A 26,455-nucleotide genomic window follows, 5' to 3' on the forward strand; every position below is an offset into this window, starting at 1 on the left:
TCCCCCGCGCGTCCCCTCCTCCGTCCCCTTTCCCTCCCCAGCTCGACCCTGCACCCCCTGGCCCGGCCCGGCCCTACCTCCCCGCGGGCGGCGGCTCCGCGGGCTCTGGGGCGCATCTTGGGGGCTCCGGGGCGGGCCGGGACGGCTGGCGGCGCGGCTCGGGGGCGGGCGGCGGCGGGTGCCGGGGACGCCATGGCCCTCCGCCCTCCGCCCCTTTGTCCGCCGAGCCTCCCCCGGCCGCCCGCAAGCCCCTGGGGGTCCCCGCCGCGCGCGCTCCCGTGGGGTCCCCGCCGCCCCCGGCCCCAGCGGCGCGCTTCCCTCGGCCGGCCCAGCGCAGGCTCGCCCGCGGCCCCTGCCTCCTCCTGCCGTGGCTCCGCGACGATCTGCGCGACGCGCGCCCCCTCCTCCCGACCCATCCCGCCCGGCCCAGTGAGCTAATCCGCAGCTGGCGGGCGCCCGGCCGGTTGCCACGGCAACCCCTCTCCCAGGGCCCGGCCCCGCGCGGAGCTGCGGTAAACAGGACCTTCTGCCGGACTCGCCCCCTCGCCTCTCGGGGTGGGGGAGAGGTGGCTTAACCCTTCCTGGGAGGACGCCCGCCGCGCGCGGGCTCCATTCCACCCAGGCCCGGGCGGATTCGCGAGGTGCTTCCGGCCTGAGGCTTAGACCTGGACGTCCAAGCCTGGGGAACGGCGGCCGCGTGCCCGGCCCCGCTTACTCTAGGCAGTTAACACACTCTCGGCACCGGGCCGGGGCCGGGGGCACCTCGGGCAGTGAGTCAGGCACCACCCTTGCCCCAGGCAGCTTGCCGTCGGGCCGGGGTAATGACAGTCATGAGACCGGCGATGCAGGTGATGGGGGCCGGGGAGGGCCCAGGGCCGAGCGCGCTGCAGAAGGGCTCCCAGACCGGGCGGGAAGGGAGGTGGTCAGGAAAAGCTTCCAAGAGGAGAAGTGACTTCATAGACCCGCTGCCCCCACTCACGCAGGACACCGTCAAGGAACACAGGCTGCACAGCAGAAGTCCGCAGGGAAATGCCGTGGGCTGCGGGGAAGGCGGGTCTGGAATACAGGCTGGGGCCTTCGAGGAAGTTCCCTGGAGCTTTGACCGGGCCGGGAACATTGAATAGCATTTGCATAGGTGGAGGAAAGTGGGTGAAAGGAAAGGGTTCTGAGTGAAGGGAACAGCACCAGTGGAGGCCGGAAGCAGAGGCTAGGCATTTCAGAAACAGCCGAGTGAGGACCAAGTGGTGAATCAGGTCTGATGGGTAGGCTTAGCCAGATTTCAAGCGGGGGACGGAAAGTTTTTGAGCAGAGGAATGCCCTGATGAGAGTGAGGGGGGTCTGGCGGGGTGATTTGCGCGCGGTGGGAGCAGGCTTCAGGTCCATCTCCACACCAGAGGAAGGTCATCCTCATCTTTAGCTCAGAAGGGCTGGGAGCCATGGTCCTGCGGGACAGCAAAGAGGCCTAAAGTTCAAGCAAGGGGGAAGAGAGAAGAGAGGCTTAGCCTCACAAATCCACAGAAGGAGTGTGCGCGCGAGAGAAAGGCAGGAGGGAGACAGTGAAAAATAAAAGATGGGTGTAATGACGTAATACTGCCCAGGCAGTGCCTATAGACTGGGAGCTTGAGATTTGAGGGACTTGTTCAAAGTCACAGGAAAAAAATCTCTGTTTTCTTCTCAGCTGAGGGTTTTATGCTTTCTGGGAACTCTTTGAAGCTTTTCTAGGGCTTAAGTTCCTTAAACTCCTCATGACATACCCATTTTAACTAAGCATAGTCAACTTTTAGAGCCCACATTTGCAAAGTGCAAGCTTTTTTTTTAAAGTGTAAGCATTTAAATTATTGTTTTGTTTGTTGAAGCATTATTCAGTAAGTTTTTCACTTTCTAAATAAAGATCAGAGGCTTGGCTTTTTTTTTTTTTTTTTTTTGAGACGGAGTCTCGCTCTGTCGCCCAGGCTGGAGTGCAGTGGAGCGATTTCGGCTCACTGCAAGCTCCGCCTCCTGGGTTCACGCCATTCACCTGCCTCAGCCTCCCAGGCTTGGCTTCTTTTTTATTGATTGATTGATTGAGGCAGTCTCAGTCTCTCACCCGCGGTGGAGTGCAGTGTTGCTATCATAGCTCACTTCAGCCTCGAACTCCTGGGCTCAAGCAATTTCCCCACCTCAGCCTCCCAATTAGCTAGGACTACAGATGTATGCTATCATGGTCGGCTTTTTTATTTTTTGTAGGTCTTGCTATGTTGCCCAGGCTAATCTTGAACTCCTGGCCTCAAGTGATCCTCCTGACTTGGCCTCCCAAAGTGTTGGGATTATAGATGTGAGCCACCACGCCTGGCCAAGACTTGGCTTCTTGAGGGTTAATTATTCCCAGGGCTGCTACAACATATAAGAAAGCAAACTGGTGCAATCTTGGCTTGCAACCTTTGCCTCCTGGGTTCAAGCGATTCTTTTGCCTAAGCCTCCTGAGTAGCTGGGATTACAGGCGCCTGCCACCGCGCCACGCTCGGCTAATTTTTTTGTATTTTTAGTAGTGACAGGGTTTCACCATCTTGGCCAGGCTAGTCTTAAAAACTCCTGACCTCATGATCCACCCGCCTTGGCCTCCCAAAGTGCTCGGATTACAGGTGTGAGCCACCGCACCTGGCCTAATTTTTTTTTTTTTTTTTTTTTGAGACAGATTCTCACTCTGTCACCTAGGCTGGAGTACAGTGGCATGGTCTTGGGTCACTGAAGCCTCAGCCTCCTGAGTTTGAGTGATTCTCCTGCCTCAGCCTCCCATGTAGCTGGGATTACAGGCATCTGCCACCATGCCCAGCTAATTTTTGTATTTTTAGTAGAGACAGGGTTTCACCATGTTGGCCAGGCTGATCTCAAACTCTTGACCTCCAGTGATCCTCCCACCTCAGCCTCCCAAAGTGCTGAGATTATATTGTATAGGTGTGAGCCACTATGCCTGGCCTTCCACTCCCTCATCTTTGACTTCTGGACACTAATCTGTTTTAGGAAAATAACTCCTGCCTTAGTTCCTTGGGTCTGAGTCTGATGAACTGTGTACAGCCTGTGCTTTGTGGATTTCTAACCTTGCCTGCCTCTCACAGCCCCCAGCCCTCCAACTTCTCAGAGCTGGCTGCTCCCATTGCTGGGTCATCCTGTGGCTCTGCCCATGACAGGGGTCCCACATAGGGACCCCTCCCTCCTTCACCTTGTGGCCCCCCCATGCTGGCTCCCTGGAGGAGGGAGACAGGGTAGCCCACGATAGCCCTCCAAGGCTGGTGCTACACGTTGGAGCCTGGAAGGGCCTCTCCGTCATCCCCTCTTCTCCTGTTCCTGGCGCTGACAACTCCAACAGTATATTCGTCCCCTGTCCTCCTTCTCTGTCCATAGCTTCTCTTCATGTTGGAAAATGCTTCGGGTAGGAGGTCATGCCTGGCCTCAAGCTGGGAAAAGTGAAAGTGAGAGGAAAGGGACAAAGTTGATTTCTCTTTTGAGTCTTTAATCTTGCTTCTTTATATTTTATTTTATTTCATTTTATTTTATTTTAATTAATTTTTATTTTTTGAGACAGAGTCTTGCTCTGTCGCCCAGGCTGGAGTGCAGTGGTGCAATCTCGGCTCACCACAACCTCCGCCTCCTGGGTTCAAGTGATTCTCCTGCCTCAGCCTCCCAAGTAGCTGGTATTACAGGCATGCGCCACCACACCCGGCTAATTTTTGTATTTTTAGTAGAGATGGGGTTTCGCCATGTTGACCAGGCTGGTCTCAAACTCCCGACCTCAGGTGATCCCCTCACCTTGGCCTCCCAAAGTGCTGGGATTACAAGCATGAGCCACCGTGCCCAGTCTTTTTTATTTTATTTTAACATTTATTTCAATTAATTTATATTGAGACAAGGTCTTGCTATGTTGCCTAGGCTGGCCTTGAACTCCCCACCTCAGCCTCCTGAATAGTAACCCTGTTTCTTCCACACAGAGCAGCCCTGGAACACTGCAGTACATTTCTTCCTTCCTCTCCCTCCTTTTCCTCCAGCGTCCTGCTGAGGAGCGCAGGCCTTGATTGGAGGGGCACATTCAGCTCTGCAGCAGGTTGCTCAGCCTTGAAATCCCAGCTTTTTAAACCCTTCATCTGTAGGGTGGAAATGGCAATGGCTGCGGCCTCCTAAGAGCGCTGTTTTGAGGGTTTGGTATGGTGCCTGGCCCATGGGAGGACTCACGGGTACTCTCCTGTTGGTTATTATTTTCCTAATCTCCTTTTTTTTTTTCCCCATGAACACAGAGTGTCAAGGTTGAAGAATGGGAGGCAGGCAGTTTTTCTTCTCCTACATCAGCGCTCAACTCCCCCTTCCTCCCCACCCCTTTTAGGTCCAGGATCGTCTACCAGCACGCACAGGCAACAGAGCTGGCTTTATCTCAGCCATAAGCCAAGGGAGTAATGCATTCAATGGGCCTGCGGCTCTGTCTCTTGCTCCGACACTGGATGGAACAGACTCTCTCTTCCAGGCTCTGACTGCCTTCCAATAAAAATTAAAATAAAGAAACCAGGCCGGACGCGGTGGCTTATGGCTGTGATCCCAGCACACTGGAAGGCCGAGGCGGGCGGATCACCTGAGGTCATGAGTTCGAGACCAGCCTGGCCAACGTGGTGAAACCCTGTCTCTACTAACAATACAAAAATTAGCCAGGCATGGTGGCAGGTGCCTGTAATCCCAGCTAGTCGGGAGGCTGAGGCAGGAGAATCACTTGAACCTGGGAGGGCAGGCAGGTGGTGATGAGACAGAAGAAAGATCCTGCCAGCCAAGAGGCCAAGAAGGAATGGATCCCAGTGACCCAAGCAGGGGAGCCAGATCTCAAGGGGATGGTTTGAGTCAGGGATGCCCCAAGGAACTGCACTGCCTGTTCCTTCCAGAGGGGGGAGCCACAGTGAGGACATGGATTGGTTCTTGATCCAGAACTCTCCCTCCAGAGGAGCTGGCCCTGGGCAGAGCCGATGCTCACAGGCTTCATGGGGTAACAAAAAGAACATGGGTTGAGCCAGACAGGTCTGGGTCTGTGGGACCTCAGATAAAGCACATAACCCGTTGGGGCTTGGTTTTCCCATCCATGAAATGGCAGGAATGATGCTTCGTTGTTCAGAGTTGCAGGGCGGACCTAATGCCATGACTGGTCAAAGTGCCTGGGACAAAAATGATGCTCTGTCAACATTTACATCCAAAAGGAATCTCAGTGGAAATGAAAACATTTGAGAGAGTGTCCGAAGGCTCTTTCTCAGGCTCTGTCCCCTGCCTTGATGGGTGGGGCTAGCCTTGTCATATCCCTCGGTACTTCCCATTTCCCGTGGTTTCTTCTTTTTTTCTTTTGAGACGGAGCCTTGCTCTTGTTGCCCAGGCTGGAGTGCAATGATGTGATCTTGGCTCACTGCATAGGTGCATAGGTGAAAGGTATACACATGGGAGGCTGGGGCAGGAGGATCACTTGAGCTTGGGAGTCCTGGGTTGTGGTGCACTTTGCCAATCCAGTGTCTGCACTAAGTTCAGCATCAATATGGTGACCTCCTGGGAGCAAGGGACCACCAGGTTGCCTAAAGAGGGGTTAATCAGCCCAGGTCAGAAATGGAACAGGTCAAAACTCCTGTGCTAATCTGTAGTGGGATCGTACCTGTGAATAGCCACTGCACTCTAGCCTGGGCAACATAGTCAGAATCCATCTGTAGGAAAAAAACTGGAAATAATTAGCCTGGGTTCAGTGGTTCATGCTTGTAATCTCAATCTCAGCACTTTGGGAGACTGAGGCAGGTGAATCACTTGAGCCCAGAAGTTCGAGACCAGCCTGGCAACATGGTGAAACCCTGTCTCTACTGAAAATACCAAAAAATTAGCCAGGCGTGGTGGCGCACGCCTATAATCTCAGCTACTCAGGAGGCTGAGGCACGCGAATCACTTGAACATGGGAGGCAGAGGTTGCAGTGAGCAGAGATTGTGCCACTGCACTCTGGCCTGTGTGACAGAGCAAGACCTTGTCTCAAAAAAAAAAAAAATAAAAACCATAATCATTAAATTATATTTAAAAAGAAAAGAAAAAAGCTATACACACAGTAGATGATTGATGGACAAGAGGTTTATTGATTGATTGATCATCTGGAGAGCTGGTGTGGGGAGAAGAATCACATGTCTGTGCTTAGACAAGTTTGGATGAGGTAGAGCAAGGAAGGAACTTCTCTTAAGGGCAGGGAAAAGTCTACAGCCTCACCCTGACACAGCCTTGGCCAAGCCTCCCCTACATCCCTCCCATCCATAGACCAAAGCCCTGCAGGCTCAGAGCCCACCGAGCCATCTTAGAGAGGCTCTAAGTCAGGGCTTACAGATGTCAGGGCTCCCCTTCTAGTCTCTTGCTGGCACCTGATGCCTTTCCTCCACAGAAGGCCACCTCCCCCCTGCCTCTCTCATTCCATCTCTAACTCCATCCTCAGCCCATTCTCCCACCTAGACACAGCTGGGTGCCAGTTCCTTGCAGGCCCTCCTGGCTGCCTCTCTCTGAGGAAACAAAACCAAGCCAAGCATCCCACCCAAACCTCAAAACCAGGCTTGGTTTGTTATTGGTCCCAATCAGATGCAATCCAGGAGGTGTGGGATAGGAGTGGGAGGGGTAGAGGGGGAGCAGAGGCCACCCAGGAGTGTGCAGAGCCCAGACTGAAGCCCTAAGGCTCTTTCATCCTCCCTGGCTGCGAAGGGCTGGTCTTTGGCAGAGATGCCTCTGTGCCCTCTGTCTTCCGGGGACGCTCTCACACCTACCGCTTTGGCTGGGACTATAAGATGGGCAGCTGTTGAGGCCCACTAGGGGTGCTGTGGGGCAGATGGTCTTTGTTTATTACCATGGATGGCTGACCTTTGCTGGCTTACCACGGGGAATCCGGGAGAATCTCTGCATTGGCAGACAGCATCTCAACATATCATTTTGAGATAAGAATCATTTCTGTTTGATTTCATGACCCTAATTTATTTTGGACTGTCTTTTTTTCACACAAAGAATTAAAGTGTCTGTAACTTCATAAAGACTGGCGTGTTTATGACAAAAAGCAAAGAATAAAGGTGTGAACTTTCCAGGTCATTCATCACTAGGCAAAGTCTCAAATATGAAGCCTGCCACACCAAGTACCCTCTACACTTACATTCTTTCTGTTCCTTTTGGACGATGTATTTGAACAGTAAAAAAAAGGAACAAGAATGTGGTGATTTGGATACTTTTTAGAGGCATGGCTTTCTGTGTTTAAGCTGTTGTAGCTCTTTGTGGTCACTGTGATTTCAGAATACAGGACAGTCAGGCCAGTGAATCCAACTCTTCTGTGTGGACTTCTGTGCACAGGATGAAAGGCACCTACCTCTTGCTTCTGAGAGACTTCCCTGCCTACTTTCTGGCCCAACGAGGCAATCTCTTCAGAGTCAGGAGAAGGAGTGAGGTAATACGCTTCATTAAAGATTTTTTTTTTTTTTTTTTTTTTTTTTCTGAAACAGAGTCTCACTCTCTCACCGGGCTGGAGTGCAGTGGCGTGATCTCGGCTCACTACAACCTCCGACTCCCTGGTTCAAGGGATTCTCCTGCCTCAGCCTCCTGAGTAGCTGGGATTACAGGCACGCACCACCATGCCTGGCTAATTTTTGTATTTTTAGTAGAGACAGGGTTTCACCATGTTGGCCAGGATGGTCTTGATCTGACCTCATGATCTGCCTGCCTCAGCCTCCCAAAGTGCTGGGATTACAGGTATGAGCCACTGCGCCCAGCCCTCATTAAAGATTTTAATCATGCTGGACACAGTGGCTCATGCCTGTAATCCCAGCACTTTAGGAGGCCAAGGCAGCATGATCACTTGAGGCTGGGGGTTCAAGACCAGCATGGGTAACATAGTGAGACCCCCATTTCTACAAAAAATAAAAAATTAGCTGGGTGTGGTGGCACACACCAGGGAGGTTGAGGCTACAGTGAGCCGTGATCTCACCACTGCACTCTAGCCGGGGCAACAGAACAGGACCCTGTCTTACCTGTCTCAAAAAACAAACAAAAACAAGAAGAAGAAAAAATATATTTTATTTTATTATTATTTTTTTGAGACAAAGTCTCACTCTGTCACCCAGGCTGGAGTGCAATGGCGTGATCTCGGCTCACTGCAACCTCTGCCTTCCAGGTTCAAGCAATTCTCCTGCCTCAGCCTCCCTAGTAGCTGGGATTACAGGTGCCTACCACTGCGCCCAGCTAATTTTTGTATTTTTAGTAGAGACGAGGTTTCACCATGTTGGCCAGGCTGGTCTTGATCTCCTGACCTCAGGTGATCTGCCTGCCTTGGCCTACCAAAGTGCTGGGATTACAGGTGTCAGCCACCGCGCCCAGCCAAAAGAAGAATATGTGTATGTATATATATATATATATATATATATATATTTTTTTTTTTTTTTTTTTTTTTTTGAGACGGAGTTTCACTCTTGGCATGCCCAGGCTGGAGTGCAATGGCGTGATCTCAGCTCACTGCAACCTCCGCCTCCTGGGTTCAAGAGCGTATCCTGCTTCACCCTTCCGAGTAGCTGGGATTACAGGCATGCGCCACCACATCTGGCTAATTTTGTATTTTTAGTAGAGACGAGGTTTCTCCATGTGGTCAGGCTCATCTGGAACTCCCGACCTCAGGTGATCTGCCTGCCTCAGCCTCCCAAAGTGCCGGGATTACAGGCATGAGCCACTACATCCTGAGATGTAGTCTCTGTTGCCCACGCTGGAGTGCAGTGGTGTGATCTTGGCTCACTGCAACCTCCGCCTCCCAGGTTCAAGCGATTCTCCTGCCTCAGCCTCCCGAGTAGCTGGGACTACAAGCATGCGCCACCATGCCCAACTAATTTTTGTATTTTTAGTAGAGACGGGGTTTCGCCATGTTAGCCAGGATGGTCTCGATTTCCTGACCTCGTGATCCACCCGCCTCGGGCTCCCAAAGTGTTGGGATTACAGGTGTGAACCACTGCGCCCGGCTGAGAAGAAAATATTTTAATCACACCAGGTTATGAGCTAGGCATTACATCCGTGTCCTCATTGCCAGATCACCCTCTTTGTACTAAAATCCACCCCAGGCCCAAGGTCAGCCTTCAGATCTCCAAATGACTGTACAGCACTGCACTGACTCTCAGAGGCCACACCTTGCTTGAGAGAACATATTTCTGAAAGCTCTAATATCTGTCCCCTTCCTACGTCTCTCAGATTAACTCAAATCAAAATAAAAAAGATTGGCTAAAGGCAAGCCAGCTGATATACTATTGCTCTCGCTGGGAGTGTGACTTTGGGTGAGTCAACTTCCCTCTTTGGGTGTCAGATTCCTGGGGAGATCACAGGGGCTGTCTGGTCCCTCCCAGCCCCAGCCTTCTCATGTAGGCAAAAAAGCGCAAGAGCAGTACTCTTCTCATTCTCACTCTACGTTTTCCTGAATATGTGCTGGGCAGTGTTAATGCATTACAGAGATTACCTAGTAGGTAGGTTCTAATATTAGCCTCTTCTAGAGATAAAGAAGCAACCAAAAAGGGGTTGGCTGCCTTGCCCAAGGCCACTGGCAGGGAGTACTGGGGCTGAGATGAGCCCAGGCAGTCTGAGCCCAGGACAGCACCACTGTAGCTTTGTGGCCAGGACAGGCTTTAGAACAGAGAAGTTAACAGGGCCTGGTGGGGTGCAGTGGCTCACTCCTATAATCCCAGCACTTTGGGAGACCGAGGAGGGTGGATCACCTGAGATCAGGAGTTCGAGACCAGCCTGGCCAACATGGCAAAACCCCATCTCTACCAAAAATACAAAAATTAGCTGGGTATGGTGGCATGTGCCTCTAATCCCAGCTACTCAGGAGACTGAGACAGGAGAATCGCTTGAATTCAGGAGGCGGAGGTTGCAGTGAGCCGAGATTTTACCACTGCACTCCAGCCTGGGTGACAGAGCGAGACTCCGTCTCAAAAATAAAATAAAATAAAGAAGTTAACAGGGTCCAGGGGCAACAGAGTTGCACACAGCATGGTGGGGGCATACCGTGTCAGAGCAGGAAGTGGCCTCAGAGATGAGCAGCCCAAGCCCTCGAGGCAGAAGGAGGGGAGACTTGCCTTGGCCACACAGGGTTAGCACATGCACTGCACGTGGGTAGTAGTAGTCCAGTTACGTGACACCGGGAGAAAGGTGTCTGGAGCAAGCCACCTAGAAAACCAGAAGGCAGGAACTAGAGGAGAGATTCTCGTGATAAGGAGTAATGGAGAAAATTCAACTGAAGAGTGAAAAAGAGAAAGCGAGGAGGCCGTGGTCTCACGGGGAAGGGATGGGTCATTGCCGCAGGGCACACACACACAACTGCCTCCTCCTTTCCCTGCTTCTTTCAGTATTATTTCTTTTCTTTTCTTTTCTTTTTTTTGAGACACAGTCTCGCTCCATCTCCCAGGCTGGAGTGCAGTGGCGCTATCTCGGCTCACTGCAAGCTCCACCTCCTGGGTTCACACCATTCTCCTGCCTCAGCCTCCCGAGTAGCTGGGACTACAGGCACCCGCCACCGCGCCCAGCTAATTTTTTGTATTTTTGGTAGAGATGGGGTTTCACCGTGTTAGCCAGGATGGTCTCGATCTCCTGACCTCGTGATCTGCCCGCCTCGGCCTCCCAAAGTGCTGGGATTACAGGTGTGAGCCACCGCGCCCAGCCCCTTTCAGTATTATTTCTGATATTTTCTCCTCTGCCAGCTTGGGGAGTAGATATGGGTGGCCCAGAGCCAAAATCCACATGCCAGGGCCTGACTCTCTTAGGAAGGAATTGCAGGTCAGAGATACCAAGCAGGACCTGGGGGGAGGGGCAGGGCCAGTGCTTCTCACACTTTTTTTTTTTTTCTGAGACAGAGTTTCCGTCTTATTGCCCAGGCTGGAAAGCAGTGGTGCAATCTCAGCTCACTGCAACCTCCGCCTCCCGGGTTCAAGCGATTCTCTTGCCTCAGCCTCCCGAGTAGCCAGGATTACAGGCACCCATCACCATGCCCGGGTAATTTTTTGTAGTTTTAGCTGAGACGGGGTTTCACCATGTTGGCCAGACTGGTCTCAAACTCCTGACCTCAGATGATCCGTCTGCCTCAGCCTCCCAAAGTGCTGGGATTACCCCAGGCTGGAGTGCAGTGGAGGCATGAGCCACCACGCCCGGCCTTTCTCACACTTTTTATCTGCCTGATAATCCCATTGAGTTTAAGGGGGAAAAAAAGAAGAAAAAAAAGAACAGATTCTGGCCTTCGCTGAGTGATCCTGATGCAAGGGGTCTGGGATGCAGCCCAGGAACGTGCAGTTTTACAAGCACTCCAGGTGTGTGTTTGCTTGTAGAGACAGAGTCTCACTATGTTGTCTCACTCTGTTGCCCAGGCTGATCTTGAACTCCTAGTTTTGAGAGATCTTCCTGCTCTGTCTGGCCTCCCAATGTTCTAGGATTACAGGTGTGTGAGCCATGGTGCACAGCCGCCCAGGTGTTTTTGGTGGAGGTGGCTCAAGTCCCCACCAGAGACACACTGGTTTAGAGCCTGCTCAGGAGGAACAAAGACGTTGAAGCTGCAGCAGGTAAGTGCAGGGCGTTCCCTTCTCTTATATTCTGTTCTGAAGAAAGTGTGAGTGTGGGGTGGGAAGAGGGGTAAGGAGGTCAGGGGGTGCTGAAAGGGTCTCAGCAGAGAACTGTGCGAAAGGACCTAAGACTAGTGATTCCCAAGCAGGGACAACTTTGCTTCTTTGCTTCTCCAGGGGACATTTGGTAATTTTTCTTTTTTTTTTTCTTTTAAGAGACAAGGTCTTACTCTGTCTCCCAGGCTGGAGTGCAGTGGCACAATCATAGCTCACTGCAACCCCAAACACCTGGGCTCAAGCCATCCCTCCACCTAAGCCTCCTGGGTATCTAGAACTACGGGTGTGCCCCATTGCCGTGCCCAGGTTTTTTTTTTTTTTTTTCCGTAGAGACAGAGTCTTGCTATATTGCCCCGGCTGGTCTGAAACTCCTGTGCTCAAGCAATCCTCCCACTTTGGTCTCCCAATGTGCTGAGAATACAGATGTGGGCCACCATGCCTGGCTGACACTTGGCAATGTTTGAAGATATTTTATTGTCATAATTGGGAAAGGGAAGTGCTATGGTCTGAACGTGTCCGCCTCCAAAATTCATATGTTGAAATCCTAACGCCCAAAGTGATGGAAGGTGAGTGGAGCCCTCATGAATGGGTTTAGTGCCCTCATCAAAGAGTCCCCAGAGAAAGCTCTCACCCTCTCCCACTCTTTCCACCACGGACACAGTGAGAAGGCGGCGGTCTGCAGCCCAGAAGCAGGACCTCCCCAGAACCCAACCATGCCGCACCTGGATCCTGGACTTTTCAGCCTCCAGGAATGTGAGAAAGAAATATTTGCTGTTTCTTTTTTCTTTTTTCTTTTTTTTTTTTTTTGAGACAGAGTCTTACTCTGTCACCCAGGCTGGAGTACGGTGGCCCAATCTCGGCTCACTGCAAGCTCCGCCTCCCGGGTTCACGTCATTCTCCTGCCTCAGCCTCCCGAGTAGCTGGGACTACAGGCGCCCGCCACCACGCCCAGCTAATTTTTTGTATTTTTAGTAGAGACGGGGTTTCACCGTGTTAGCCAGGATGGTCTCTATTTCCTGACCTCGTGATCCTCCCGCCTCGGCCTCCCAAAGTGCTGGGATTACAGGCGTGAGCCACTGCGCCCGGCCAATAAATATTTGCTGTTTCTAAGCCACACAGTTCATGGTATTTTGTTATATAGCAGCTCAAACGGACTAAGACAAGGATTGTTTCTGGCATCAAGTGGGTAAAGGCCAGACATGCTGCCGAACATCCTCCAAAGCACAGGACAGCCTCCCTCTCCACACACAACGAAGAATTGTCTTGTCCGGAATGCCTAAAATGCAGAGGCCGGGAAGCCCAGAGCCAGCCCATTCCCCACCTCCACCATCTTCCCCTTGAACTAGTACTTGCCCTGCATCACATCTGCTGGGTAGCAGTGTTACACGCGAGCTGCTAAACCCGGTCATGTGGTTCACGTGGAAAGAGAAGCAAAGCCAGATGGGCTTTTGCAGAGTTCCCCTTCCCTTGCCTCCCGGTTGGGTCTGGGAACCTCCAGGAATCGTGTGTTATCCTTCCCGAGTGAATGGTGCCACCTAGTGGAAATAGAGTTAACAACACCAGCAGGAGCATTTCATACACCTGGAAACCTAAAAATTAGCTGGCTTTCCACTGTTGAGAAGATTCAATGCGGATCAACGAAAGCCACCCAAATGAGGAAGGCAGAGGCTATTTATTTAGCGTTTTCTATGGCCAGACAGTCAGCCACCATCACTTGCCTTTGGCAGAGAGTCAAATATAACTGGAGACTCAAATGCTAGTGGGAAAGGCTTCTATAGGTTTCAGGTGGGCTCTAATTGGAAGATGTTGGCAGGGGGAAAGTGCAGGCAGCAGCATCTTATGTGATGGGTTTGGAGAGGATTTTTGGCTTTCTTGGCTTGGTCCTGAGTTGGAAGTGTCAGTGAGAATTAGGGCAGCAGGCAGTCATTGAGCAAATCCTGACGTTCTGGGCCTATCGCCATAGAAGGTTGGCTTGGCTCCTGCCCCGGTTGCTGCAAAGGTTGTGGGTCACAGCCTCTGAATATGCAGAGTCAATGACCATATATGACACTAGACATAGAAATGCATAGTTATATATGGCCATTGTCCCTTTGCGTATTCAGTCTCTTAATTCATTCAACATTCTAAATATATCCATCCCTCCTGTTACTAATCCTGAAACGGATTGCATAAAGTTACCCATGTGAGCAGCAGGTTGACTCCAAGCCAGCATCTGTGATTTTCAATGGTTGCCCTTATAAACTTTGATTTAGGGTTCATATGTGATAGAACTGTTTTTGTTTTGTTTTGTTTTGTTTTTTACTGCCCATGTTGCCTTCATATGTATGACATAATTCTCCTAACTGACATGGGCCTCAGTAATAATCTCTCAACTTCACCTGTGTGGGAGCTGACTCTAGCTCTTTACAATGCTACACTTTCACCACTGCCACCACCATCACCAGTCATTTGGTGGTGGTGATGGTGGTGGATGGTAACAGTGGTGGTAATGATGGTGGTGATGGTTATGGTGGGCCTATTTCTGCAGAGATTGTAGGTCGCCACCATCACCGTCACCGTTACCACCACCACTATCATTATGATCACCACCACTTTTGTCACCACCACCACCAGTCACCACCAACACCGTCACCAGCACCACTGTCACCACCACCACCACTATCACCATCACCATTATCACCATCACCACCACCACCATTACCAATATCAATGCCACCACCATTGCCACTGTCACCACCATCACTGTCACATCATCACCATCACCACCGCCACTGTTACCATCACTACCACTATTACCACCACTACCACCAACATCAACAATACCACTACCATTACCAATATCAATGCCACCACCATTACTGTCACCACTATCATCACTGTCACCACCATCACTCACCACTATCATCCCCATCACCACCACTACCACTGTCACCACCACCACGACCACCACCATTATCATCACCACCACCAATATAACCACCGCCCCATTACCAACATCAATACCACCACCATCACCATTGTCACCGCCATCACCACCACCACTGTTACCACCCACTACCATTACCTTGACCACCACCACCACCATCTTCACCACCACCACCACCATATTCACCACTACCACTATCTACAAGGTCAATGGTTCTCAAAATGTTTTCCCCAAACCAACAGCATCAGCATCATATAGTAACTGTTAGAAATGCACATTCTTGGGCCTCACCCCAGACCTACAAAAGTCAGCAATGGGGTGGGGCCAGCGCTCCAACTAATTCTGATGGATGCTAAAGTTTGAGAGCCACCATTCTAGATAAATTTCTAGGATGCCCACAAGGGCCTTATTTTCAGTCAGACCTTCCACAATGTATCCTTTAAATTTGTGAAAATTTGCTTGTCTTATGAAGTAGTCAGAGAAACAAGACGACCTTTATCTAGGTAATATCGAGGCAGAAATTCAAGGAAAAATAAATCCACTGAGCTGGTGCACACCTTAAAATAATTATCCTCCTGTATTCACCCATACTTGTCTAGTCCCCTGCATCCCGCAACATTTCTTGGCGAGCCAGCCAGGAGGAGTGGAGACGGCAGATCTACTGTCTCCTTTCCCTATGGGGCTGGAGCCCCGGGCCTGGGGAGACCTGTGACCCCAGGTGCCACCTGGAGAACTTCAGCCTAGAGGGGTGAAATCAGCTCTCCTGTGACCCAGCACCCCTACCCAGCAGCACAACAGAACCTGAGAGGGGCTACAGGACAATTCCAGAAACAGCGTGCTTCAGGAACTGCGGTAAGGTATTGGGGCCCAAGGCAGGACCCGTCTCATAAGGATAGAAGGGGAGCCTTCCCAGGGTGTAACTGGTAGTCTGACCCAGACGGGTTAGGGGCAGCAAGAACAGCTCGCCAATTTGGATGAAACTCACATCCCAACCGACACCGGATGTGAGAGTGGCTCGCTAAGTTGGTTAGGAAAAGGAAACTGGAGGCGGCAAGAGTGGCTCACCATCCCAATTAGGAACACAGGAACTGGGAATGGGGAGGTGTGTGAAAGTGTGTGAGAGATGGTTCCTGGAGAAACCAATGTGGGGAGTGATGTGGGGAGTCACAGATCTCTTAGCGTGGACTGTGTGCTCCAAGCGAAGTGTGGGGCCAACCTGGACTAGTGGCGAACCACATATGGCTAATAGGAGCTGCCCCACAGCTCAGAATTGTGGTGGGAATAAGGACCTCTCCAAAGCCAAGTGGTGTCTGAAAACTCCCATAATAGGAGAAGGTCTGGTTGGTCTGAGTCAAAAGGAAGAGTGGGTATGCTGCATCATAAAGGGAGGAAATAGGAGGAAAGTCATCAAAACCCACTCCATTGGAGTGCATGTTACAAAACTTTAAGAAAGGTTTTGCAGGGGATTATGGAGTTAAGCTGACCCCCCAAAGGTTGAGAACTCTCTGTGAACTAGAATGGACTTCTTTTGGAGTTGGATGGCCAACCGAAGGAACTACAGACGGAAATAATTGGCTGTGTATTTAGGGTGGTGACAGGGGTCGGAGGACAGCCTGGGCATCCAGATCAATTTCCTTACATTAACTCATGGTTAAATATAGTACAAACAAGACCAGCCTGGATCCAGCCCTGTTTAGTGGCTCATTGCAAAACACTTGTGGCCCAAGCTGAGCCAGAAGTGAAAGTAAGAGCAGGTTCGCCGACAGACACAGAGTTAAAGGGGAAGTCCCAGAGGGAACAAGAAAGGCCAGTTTTGCAGGAGCTGCCAGAGGGAACAGAGATTCCTCCTCCATATGTCCCAGCCTGGCCCCCTTTACTGAGGCCAACAGCCCCCCAGGAACCAAATTCAGGAGCTAGCACACCCCAAGTTTCACCCCAAAGGGAAGAATCAGAGCCTTGAGAGGCCAGGGAAGGAAATCAAGATAGTCGAGCAGGGTGTCTCAGATCTGGCTGTGCTCAAGCATGTAAATGCCTCTCAGGGAGACATGAGGACCCATTTATTATGATGACCAAGGCCAAGTCCAAGGGGGGCAACAGATTTTCATCTATGAGCCCTTTTCAACCACTAATCTCTTAAACTGGAAACACCATACTCCCTCCTATACAGAGAAGCCCCAAGCTCTTGTAGATCTGATGCAGTCCATCTTTCTGACACACAATCCAACCTGGCCAGACTGCAGGCAGCTTCTTCTCACGCTGTTTAACACTGAGGACCGCAGGAGAGTAACCCAGCAACTCTCCGCTGGCTAGAAGCCCATGCACCAGCAGATGCAGTGAATGCTCAGGCATACGCTCAGGGCCAGTTCCCAGACCAAGATCCCAACTGGGACCCAGAAGATGCGACCCAGCTTCAGCATTTGCAGAGGTACCGAAGACACTTCTGAAAGGGCTAAGAGATGGTGGAAAAAGGGCAATCAATAAGAAAAGATCTCAGGGATGCTTCAGGAAAGTGATGAGAGCCCTAGCCAGTTTTATGAAAGACTCTGAGATATACTGGCTTTTCACCCCATTTGACCCTGAGGCTCTTGAAAATCAGCGTATGGTAAATATATCATTTGTAGGACAGGCCCAGGGTGACATAAAGCGAAACCTTCAGAAACTGGAAGGTTTCGCAGGCATGAATGCCACCCAGCTTATAGAAGTAGCCACCAGGCTACTTCTATAAGTAGGAGGGTGGAGGATTACAGGTGGGATCACACCTGTAATCCCAGCACTTTGGGAGGCCGAGGCGGGCAGATCACAAGGTCAGGAGATTGAGACCATCCTGGCTAACACGGTGAAACCCTGTCTCTACTAAAAATACTCGGGAGGCTGAGGCAGGAGAATGGCGTGAACCTAGGAGGCAGAGCTTGCAGTTAGCTGAGATCGCACCACTGCACTCCAGTCTGGGCGACAGAGCGAGACTCCGTCTCAAAAAACAAACAAACAAAAAGAAGTAGCCACCAAAGTGTATGTTAACCATGACCAGGAGGCAAAGAAGGAAGCAGATCGGAGGCTTAAAAAGAAAGCCGATCTGTTGGCAACAGCCCTCATAGAGAGAGACACTAGCAATGTGAGAGGATGAGGAAGTGGACGTGGACATGGACATGGAAGAGGCCAAGACAAGGATTCAAGAGCTGACCAAGGTTAGAGAAGGATCAATGTGCACAATGCAAAAAGAAAGGACACTGGAAGGATAAATGTCCATAAGGCAATGAGGGAAATGGCCAAGGCGGAGAGACAAAGAGGCCACCGGCCAGGGGCTGCCACACCCTGGCAGAACCAGATACTGATCTGATCAGGCTGGCAGGGGCTGAAAGATATGAGGACTAGGACAGACCGCACTCCTTCTCATTGGGCCTTCAGGAGCCTATGGTCACATTAAAAGTTGGAAGCCGTTCAATGGACTTTATGGTAGATACTGGGGCTGAACACTCTGTAGTAACTCAACCCATAGGGCCACTAAAAACTATACAACTATTGTAGGGGCTACTGAAGTCTCAGAGAGGAGGCCATTCTGCCGGTCAAGGAGTTGTGTTACAGGAGGACGAGAAGTCCAGCATAAATTACTATACTTCCCAAATTGTCCAGTTCCCTTGTTAGGGAGAGACCCACTCCAAAAACTGCAAACATGGATTACTTTTGGCCCCCAGGGAGGTATAACTTTAAATCTGACTCACCCAAAGGCCATGGTGTTAACCTTTACTGTCCTGCAGGCTGAGGAGTGGAGACTTTATAAAAAGAGATTTCAGGCACCAATGCAACCTCATACACAAGAGGAAGAAAAATTATTATTTCAGTTAGTTAAAGAAATTACTGGAGTATGGGCTGAGGACAACCCACCTGGGTTAGCTGTAAATCATGCACCAGTAGTAGTAGAATTAAAACCAGGAGCAGATCCTGTTCAGGTTCATCAGTACCCAGTTACCCAAAAGGCTGTATGGGGCATCTGTAAACACTTACAGCCGCTCTATAAACAGGGGATTTTAGTCCAATGCCAGTTGCCCTGGAATACTGTACTTTTGCCAGTACAAAAGCCACTACCAGGACCAGGGTCTGATGAATATAGACCAGTGCAGGACTTGCATGCCGTAAACTGGGCCACAGTAACCATCCATCCAGTGGTACCCAACCTGTATAATTTAATGGAACTCATTTCAGCAAGTGCTACCTGGTTTACAGTCTGAGACTTAAAGGATGCTTTCCTTCATATCTGCATGGTACCAGTTAGTCAGCCTATCTTTGCATTTCAATGGGACAAAGAAGCTACCCAGCTCACCTGGACTAGGTTCCTGCAAGGGTTTAAAAACTTTCCCACAATCTTTGGGGAAGCATTGGCCTCAGACCTCAAGGCCTATACCCTGCCAAATGATAACTGTGCCTCGTTACAGTATGTAGATGACCTTCTTTTGGCGGCCCCAACCCAAGAGGACTGTTATCAGGGAACCCAAGACCTCCTCCATCTCCTATGAAAAGCAGGTTGCAAAGTACCTAAAAAGAAAGCTCAAATTTGGCCAGGTGCAGTGGCTCACGCCTGTAATCCCAGCACTTTGGGAGGCTGAGGTGGGTGGATCACGAGGTCAGGAGTTCAAGACCAGCCTGGCCAACATGGTGAAACCCCATCTCTACTAAACACACAAAAAATTAGCCAGGTGTGGTGGCAGGTGCCTGTAATCCCAGCTACTCAGGAGGCTGAGGGAGGAGAATTGCTTGAACTCAGAGGGCGGAGGTTGCAGTGAGCTGAGATCACACCACTGCACTCCAGCCTGGGCGACAGATTGAGACTCCATCTCAAAAACAAAACAAAACAAAACAAAAACCAATTTGCCATGAAGAGGTTAAATATCTAGGTTTCATAGTGAGCCAGGGGGAACGCCGGCTTGGCGATGAGCGGAAGCAAGCCATTTGTGCACTTCCAACCCCGACCACCTGACGTCAAATGAGAGAATTTTTAGGGGCAGCAGGATTCTGCTGCATCTGGATTCCAAATTTTTCACTGATGGCTAAGCCGTTATATGAAGCCACAAAGTGGGGAGAAAAAGAGCCCCTACTCTGGGAAACTAATCAGGAAATAGCATTCAAACAGATCAAGGAAGCTTTGGCCCAGTCCCCAGCCTTAGGACTACCAGACGTAACTAAGCCTTCCTTTCTATATGTTCATGAACAAAAGGGAGTGGCTATAAGGGTTCTGACTCAAGCTACAGGATCATGGCATCACCCAGTGGCATATTTATCCAAACAACTGGACTCTGCGGTGCTAGGATGGCTTGCTTTAACACATTAGCCACCTCCGTCTTGTTGGCACAAGAGGCTAGTAAACTAACTCTGGGACAGCAGCTAACCATCTGGGTGCTGCACTCAGTACAGCAGCTAAGCATCTGGGTGCTGCACTCAGTTATAACTTCGATAGACCAAAGAAGACATCACTGGTTGTCAAACCTGAGGATGACTCAGTACCAAGGGCTTCTATGTGAAAACCCTTACAGTATTTTAGAAACAGTGAACAGCTTAAACCCGGCTACTCTGCTCCCAGTGGAACCAGGAGCTCCCCTCCATGACTGTGTCAAAACAGTAGATGAGGTATTCTCTAGTTGAAAAGATCTTATGGACCAACCCCTCAGAGACCCAGATGTCGAGTACTTCACGGATGGAAGCAGTTTTGTGCTAGAAGGGGTTCAACATGCCGGGTATGCAGTGGTAACATTAGACTCAGTAGTAGAAGCTCAGTCTCTGCCTACTGGAACATCAGCTCAAAAGGCAGAATTAATAGCCCCAACAAGAGCACTGCTGCTAGCAAAAGACAAAAAGGTCAATACTGGCAGGGCGCGGTAGCTCACGCATGTAATCCCAGCAGTTTGGGAGGCCAAGGCGGGCGGATCACGAGGTCAGGAGTTCGAGACCAGCCTGGCCAACATGGCGAAAACCCGTCTCTACCAAAAATACAAAAAATTAGCTGGGCGTGATGGCAGGTGTCTGCAATCCCAGCTACTTGGGAGGCTGAGGCAGGAGAATCGCTTGAACCTGGGAGGCGGAGGTTGCAGTGAGCTGAGATCTTGCCACTGCACTCCAGTCTGGGTGATAAGAGTGAAACTCCGTCTCAAAAAAAAATAGTCAATATTTACACTGATTCTAAATACGCTTTTACTACATTGCATGTACATGGAACTATATACAAAAAGAGAGGACTTTTAACAGCTGGAGGCAAATAAATAAAGTACAAGAAAAAAATTCTACAGTTCTTAGAGGCTGCATGGGCTCCAGAAAAAGTAGTTGTAATGCACTGCAGAGGGCACCAAAAGGCAGGGATGCCAGAAGCCAAAGGAAACAGAAAGACAGGCAGAGGGGCAAAGCGGGCAGCAATGATTATGCCACATTTTAAAGAGAAAGCCTTAGCTATGCCTCTCCTCCCAGAACCTCCTCTCCAAGAGGACCCAACTTATACTCCAAATGAAAGAGCCTGGTTTGCCCAGGAAGCTGGAAAATACATTAAAGGAGGGTGGTGAAAACTCTTCGATGGAAAGTCAGCCATTCCGGAGATGTTAGCTCCTAAGTTTGTGAAACAAATTCATCAAGGAACTCATATGAAAAAAAGGGCACTAAAAATGTTATTAAAATGTCATTTATATGTGCCACGGGTCTCTGCCATCACTTGAGCTGTCTGTAAACAATATTTAACCTGTGCTCAGAACAATCTGCCACAGGGGCCCACACAGCCCCCAGGAATTCAGGAAATAGGAGCCATGCCTTGTAAAAACTTACTTACAGACTACCGAACTGCCCCGTGCTGGGGGCTATCGGTATATGCTAGTGCTTATTTGCACCTTTCCAGGATGGGTTGAGGCTTTCCCCACCAGGACAAAAAAAGCACGAGAAGTGACTAAAGCACGTTAAAAGACATTATCGGCCGGGCACCGTGGCTCACGCCTGTAATCCCAGCACTTTGGGAGACTGAGGCGGGCGGATCACAAAGTGACCATCCTGGCTAACACGGTGAAACCCTGCCTCTACTAAAAATATAAAAAAATTAGCCGGGCGTGGTGGCGGGTGCCTGTAGTCCCAGCTACTCAGGAGGCTGAGACAAGAGAATGGCGTGAACCCCAGTGAGCCGAGATCATGCCACTGCACTCCAGCCTGGGCTACAGAGCAAGACTGTCTCAAAAAAAAAAAAAAAAAAAAAGACATTATACCCAGGTTTGGACTGCCGCTAACTTTAGGATCAGACAATGGGCCGGCATTTGTAGCTGAAATAGTGCAAGATTTAACAAGACTGTTTTTTTTCTTTTCTTTTCTTTATATATATATGTATGTATATATTTATTATACTTTAAGTTCTAGGGTACATGTGCACAACTTGCAGGTTTGTTACATATGTATACATGTGCCATGTTGGTGTGCTGCACCCATTAACTCGTCATTTATATTAGGTATATCTCCTAATGCTATCCCTCCCCCCTTCCCCCACCCCACAACAGGCCCCAGTGTGTGATATTCCCCTTCCTGTGTCCAAGTGTTCTCACTGTTCAATTCCCACCTATGAGTGAGAACATGCGGTGTTTGGTTTTTGTCCTTGCAATAGTTTGCTGAGAATGATGGTTTCCAGCTTCATCCATGTCCCTACAAAGGGCATGAACTCATCATTTCTTATGGCTGCATAGTATTCCATGGTGTATATGTGCCACATTTTCTTAATCCAGTCTATCATTGATGGACATTTGGGTTGGTTCCAAGTCTTTGCTATTGTGAATAGTGCCGCAATAAACATACGTGTGCATGTGTCTTTATAGCAGCATGATTTATAGTCCTTTGGGTATATACCCAGTAATGGGATGGCTGGGTCAAATGGTATTTCTAGTTCTAGATCCCTGAGGAATCGCCACACTGACTTCCACAATGGTTGAACTAGTTTACAGTCCTATCAACAGTGTAAAAGTGTTCCTATTTCTCCACATCCTCTCCAGCACCTGTTGTTTCCTGACTTTTTAATGATCGCCATTCTAACTGGTGTGAGATGGTATCTCATTGTGGTTTTGATTTGCATTTCTCTGATGGCCAGTGATGATGAGCATTTTTTCATGTGTCTGCTGGCTGCATAAATGTCTCCTTTTGAGAAGTGTCTGCTCATATCCTTCGCCCACTTGTTGATGGGGTTGTTTGTTTTTTTCTTGTAAACTTGTTTGAATTCTTTGTAGATTCTGGATATTAGCCCTTTGTCAGATGAATAGATTGCAAAAATTTTCTCCCATTCTGTAGTTTGCCTGTTCACTCTGATGGTAGTTTCTTTTGCTGTGCAGAAGCTCTTTAGTTTAGTTAGATCCCATTTGTCAATTTTGGCTTTTTTTGCCATTGCTTTTGCTGTTTTAGACATGAAGTCCTTGCCCATGCCTATGTCCTTGCCCATGCCTATGTATTGCCTAGGTTTTCTTCTAGGGTTTTTGTGGTTTTAGGTCTAACATTTAAGTCTTTAATCCATCTTGAATTAATTTTTGTATAAGGTGTAAGGAAGGGATCCAGTTTCAGCTTTCTACATATGGCTAGCCAGTTTTCCCAGCACCATTTGTTGAATAGGGAATCCTTTCCCCATTTCTTGTATTTGTCAGGTTTGTCAAAGATCAGATAGTTGTAGATGTGTGGTATTATTTCTGAGGGCTCTGTTCTGTTCCATTGGTCTGTATCTCTGTTTTGGTTCCAGTACCATGCTGTTTTCGTTACTGTAGCAGTTTCTTCCTTGCATCGATGGTCTTACAATGTCTTTTTTTTTTTAATAGATGCAGAAAAGGCCTTTGACAAAATTCAATAGTCCTTCATGCTAAAAACTCTCAATAAATTAGGTATTGATGGGATGTATCTCAAAATAATAAGAGCTATTTATGACAAACCCACAGCCAACATCATACTGAATGGGCAAAAACTGGAAGCATTCCCTTTGAAAACTGGCACAAGACAGGGATGCCCGTCTTTGTAGTATAGTTTGAAGCCAGGTAGCATGATGCCTCCAGCTTTGTTCTTTTGGCTTAGGATTGACTTGGCAATGCGGGCTCTTTTTTGGTTCCATATGAACTTTAAAATAGTTTTTTCCAATTCTGTGAAGAAAGTCATTGGTAGCTTGATGGGGATGGCATTGAATCTATAAATTACCTTGGGCAGTATGGCCATTTTCACGATATTGAGTCTTCCTATCCATGAGCATGGAATGTTCTTCCATTTGTTTGTATCCTCTTTTATTTCATTGAGCAGTGGTTTGTAGTTCTCCTTGAAGAGGTCCTTCACATCCCTTGTAAGTTGGATTCCTAGGTGTTTTATTCTCTTTGAAGCAATTGTGAATGGGAGTTCACTCATGATTTGGTTGTCTGTCTGTTATTGGTGTATGAGAATGCTTGTGATTTTTGCACATTGATTTTGTATCCTGAGACTTTATTGAAGTTGCTTATGAGCTTAAAGAGATTTTGGGTTGAGACGATGGGGTTTTCTAGATATACAATCCTGTCATCTGCAAACAGGGACAATTTGACTTCCTCTTTTCCTAATTGAATACCCTTTATTTATTTCTTTTGCCTGATTGCCCTGGCCAGAACTTCCAACACTATGTTGAATAGAAGTGGTGAGAGAGGGCATCCCTGTCTTGTGCCAGTTTTCAAAGGGAATGCTTCCAGTTTTTGCCCATTCAGTATGATGTTGGCTGTGGGTTTGTCATAAATAGCTCTCATTATTTTGAGATACATCCCATCAATACCTAATTTATTGAGAGTTTTTAGCATGAAGGACTGTTGAATTTTGTCAAAGGCCTTTTCTGCATCTATTAAAAAAAAAAAGACATTGTAAGACCATCGATGCAAGGAAGAAACTGCATCAACTAACGAGCAAAATAATCAGCTAACATCATCATGACAGGATCAAATTCATACATAACAATATTAACCTTAAATGTAAATGGGCTAAATGCTCCAATTAAAAGACACACACCGGCAAATTGGATAGAGTCAAGACCCATCAGTGTGCTGTATTCAGGAAGCCCATCTCACGTGCAGAGACACACATAGGCTCAAAATAAAGGGATGGAGGAAGATCTACCAAGCAAATGGAAAACAAAAAAAGGCAGGGGTTGCAATCCTAGTCTCTGATAAAATGGACTTTAACCAACAAAGATCAAAAGAGACAAAGGAGGCCATTACAAATGGTAAAGGGACCAATTCAACAAGAAGAGCTAACTATCCTAAATATATATGCATCCAATACAGGAGCACCCAGATTCATAAAGCAAGTCCTTAGAGACCTACAAAGAGACTTAGACTCCCATACAGTAATAATGGGAGACTTTAACACCCCACTGTCAACATTAGACAGATCCATGAGACAGAAAGTTAACAAGGATATCCAGGAACTGAACTCAGCTCTGCACCAAGCAGACCTAATAGACATCTACAGAACTCTCCACCCCAAATCAACAGAATATACATTCTTTTCAGCACCACACCACACCTACTCCAATATTGACCACATAGTTGGAAGTAAAGCACTCCTCAGCAAATGTAAAAGAACAGAAATTATAACAAACTGTCTCTCAGACCATAGCGCAATCAAACTAGAACTCAGGATTAAGAAACTCACTCAAAATCGCTCAACTACATGGAAACTGAACAACCTGCTCCTGAATGACTGACTACTGGGTACATAACGAAATGAAGGCAGAAATAAAGATGTTCTTTGAAACCAACGAGAACAAAGACACAACATACCAGAATCTCTGGGACGCATTTAAAGCAGTGTGTAGAGGGAAATTTATAGAACTAAATGCCCACAAGAGAAAGCAGGAAAGATGTAAAATTGACACCCTAACATCACAATTAAAAGAACTAGAGAAGCAAGAGCAAACACATTCAAAAGCAACTTAAAGTATAATTAAAAAAAAGAAAAAAACACATTCAAAAGCTAGCAGAAGGCAAGAAATAACTAAGATCAGAGCAGAACTGAAGGAGATAGAGACATAAAAAACCCTTCAAAAAATCAATGAATCCAGGAGGTGGTTTTTTGAAAAGATCAACAAAATTGATAGACCGCTAGCAAGACTGTTAAAACTAAAATGGAAGTTACACACAGCCTATTGGCCACAAAGTTTAGGAAAAGTAGAACGCATGAACCGGACACTCAAGCAGCTACTGAAGAAATATTGCCAAGAAACTCATCTAAGATGGGATCAGGTCTTGCCTATGGTCCTCCTCCGAGTCAGGTGCACCCCCACCAAACAAACTGGGTATTCACCCTGTGAAATTTTGTTCGGTGGGCCTCCCCCAATCATAAGTCAAATAAAAGGTACTCTCCGGGAACTAGAGAAATTAACTTTAAGAAAGCAAATGCAGGCGTTAGAAATAGCCATGCAAGAGGTTCATGGCTGGGTACGAGAAAGAATGCCTATAAGGCTGACAGGCCCAGTACACCCCTTTAAACCTGGAGACTCTGTTTGGGTTAAAAAGTGGAATCCAACTTCTCTAGGACCCATATGGGATGGGCCCTATACTGTAATCTTGTCCACTCCCACTGCTGTTAAAGTTGCAGGTGTTTTACCTTGGATCCACCACAGTTGGCTAAAACCGGCAGCTCAGGACAAGTGGACCAGTCAGCAGGACCCAGATCACCCAACCTGGTTGATCCTGAGATGAGACCAAGCTGCTGCTAAAGATGACTGCCCTGCTCTGGTCACTCCGGAAGCTGACTACTCTACCCACGGCTGAAGCTTGAGGACTCATCAAGCAAGTAAATGTGGTTAGAAATCTTAGAGCTAGTAGCTTTCCTTGTAATACTAACTGTTTTCCTGTTGTTCTGTCGCTGTGCCCAATCTCCTCCCCCAGGTAAAGACCT

The 26,455-nt window shown here is 48.6% G+C and overlaps 1 protein-coding gene, 1 long non-coding RNA gene and 1 pseudogene across 4 annotated transcripts in view, besides 2 other annotated features; 2 read left to right on the plus strand and 1 right to left on the minus strand.

Moving 5' to 3' along the window:
• The window catches only part of DENND2A (DENN domain containing 2A), a 123,042-nt gene extending 122,008 nt beyond the window's left edge, over positions 1–1,034 (minus strand). For 2 of the 3 annotated variants that reach the window (NM_001318052.2, NM_015689.5), the window contains exon 1: positions 78–387. The gene's annotated coding sequence lies outside the window, so the exon portion shown is untranslated. Of the gene's footprint in view, positions 1–77; positions 388–979 lie in introns of those variants that run through there. The other variant, NM_001318053.2, reaches the window with a different exon arrangement.
• Positions 283–577: a silencer, noted in NCBI's record as "tiled region #2153; HepG2 Repressive DNase matched - State 4:PromP". NCBI's record gives its function as "represses a minimal TATA promoter and a strong SV40 promoter by Sharpr-MPRA in HepG2 cells {active_cell/tissue: HepG2}" and the evidence as "EXISTENCE:reporter gene assay evidence [ECO:0000049][PMID:27701403]".
• Positions 483–26,202, plus strand: LOC105375535 (uncharacterized). Its single transcript, XR_928047.3, has 6 exons — positions 483–848; positions 7,295–7,445; positions 11,389–11,580; positions 11,968–12,203; positions 15,163–15,415; positions 26,147–26,202. It is a non-coding gene; the product is annotated as an uncharacterized LOC105375535 (long non-coding RNA).
• Positions 5,403–5,700, plus strand: RN7SL771P (RNA, 7SL, cytoplasmic 771, pseudogene; annotated as a pseudogene).
• Positions 6,707–6,882: a silencer, noted in NCBI's record as "fragment chr7:140346933-140347108 (GRCh37/hg19 assembly coordinates)". NCBI's record gives its function as "represses an EF-1alpha promoter that drives an FKBP-Casp9 reporter gene in an ReSE screen in K562 erythroleukemia cells {active_cell/tissue: K562}" and the evidence as "EXISTENCE:reporter gene assay evidence [ECO:0000049][PMID:32094911]".
• Positions 26,203–26,455: the final 253 nt, after the last annotated feature.

Source organism: Homo sapiens, chromosome 7, assembly GCF_000001405.40.
Source record: "Homo sapiens chromosome 7, GRCh38.p14 Primary Assembly".
NCBI classification, from domain to species: Eukaryota; Metazoa; Chordata; class Mammalia; order Primates; family Hominidae; genus Homo; species Homo sapiens.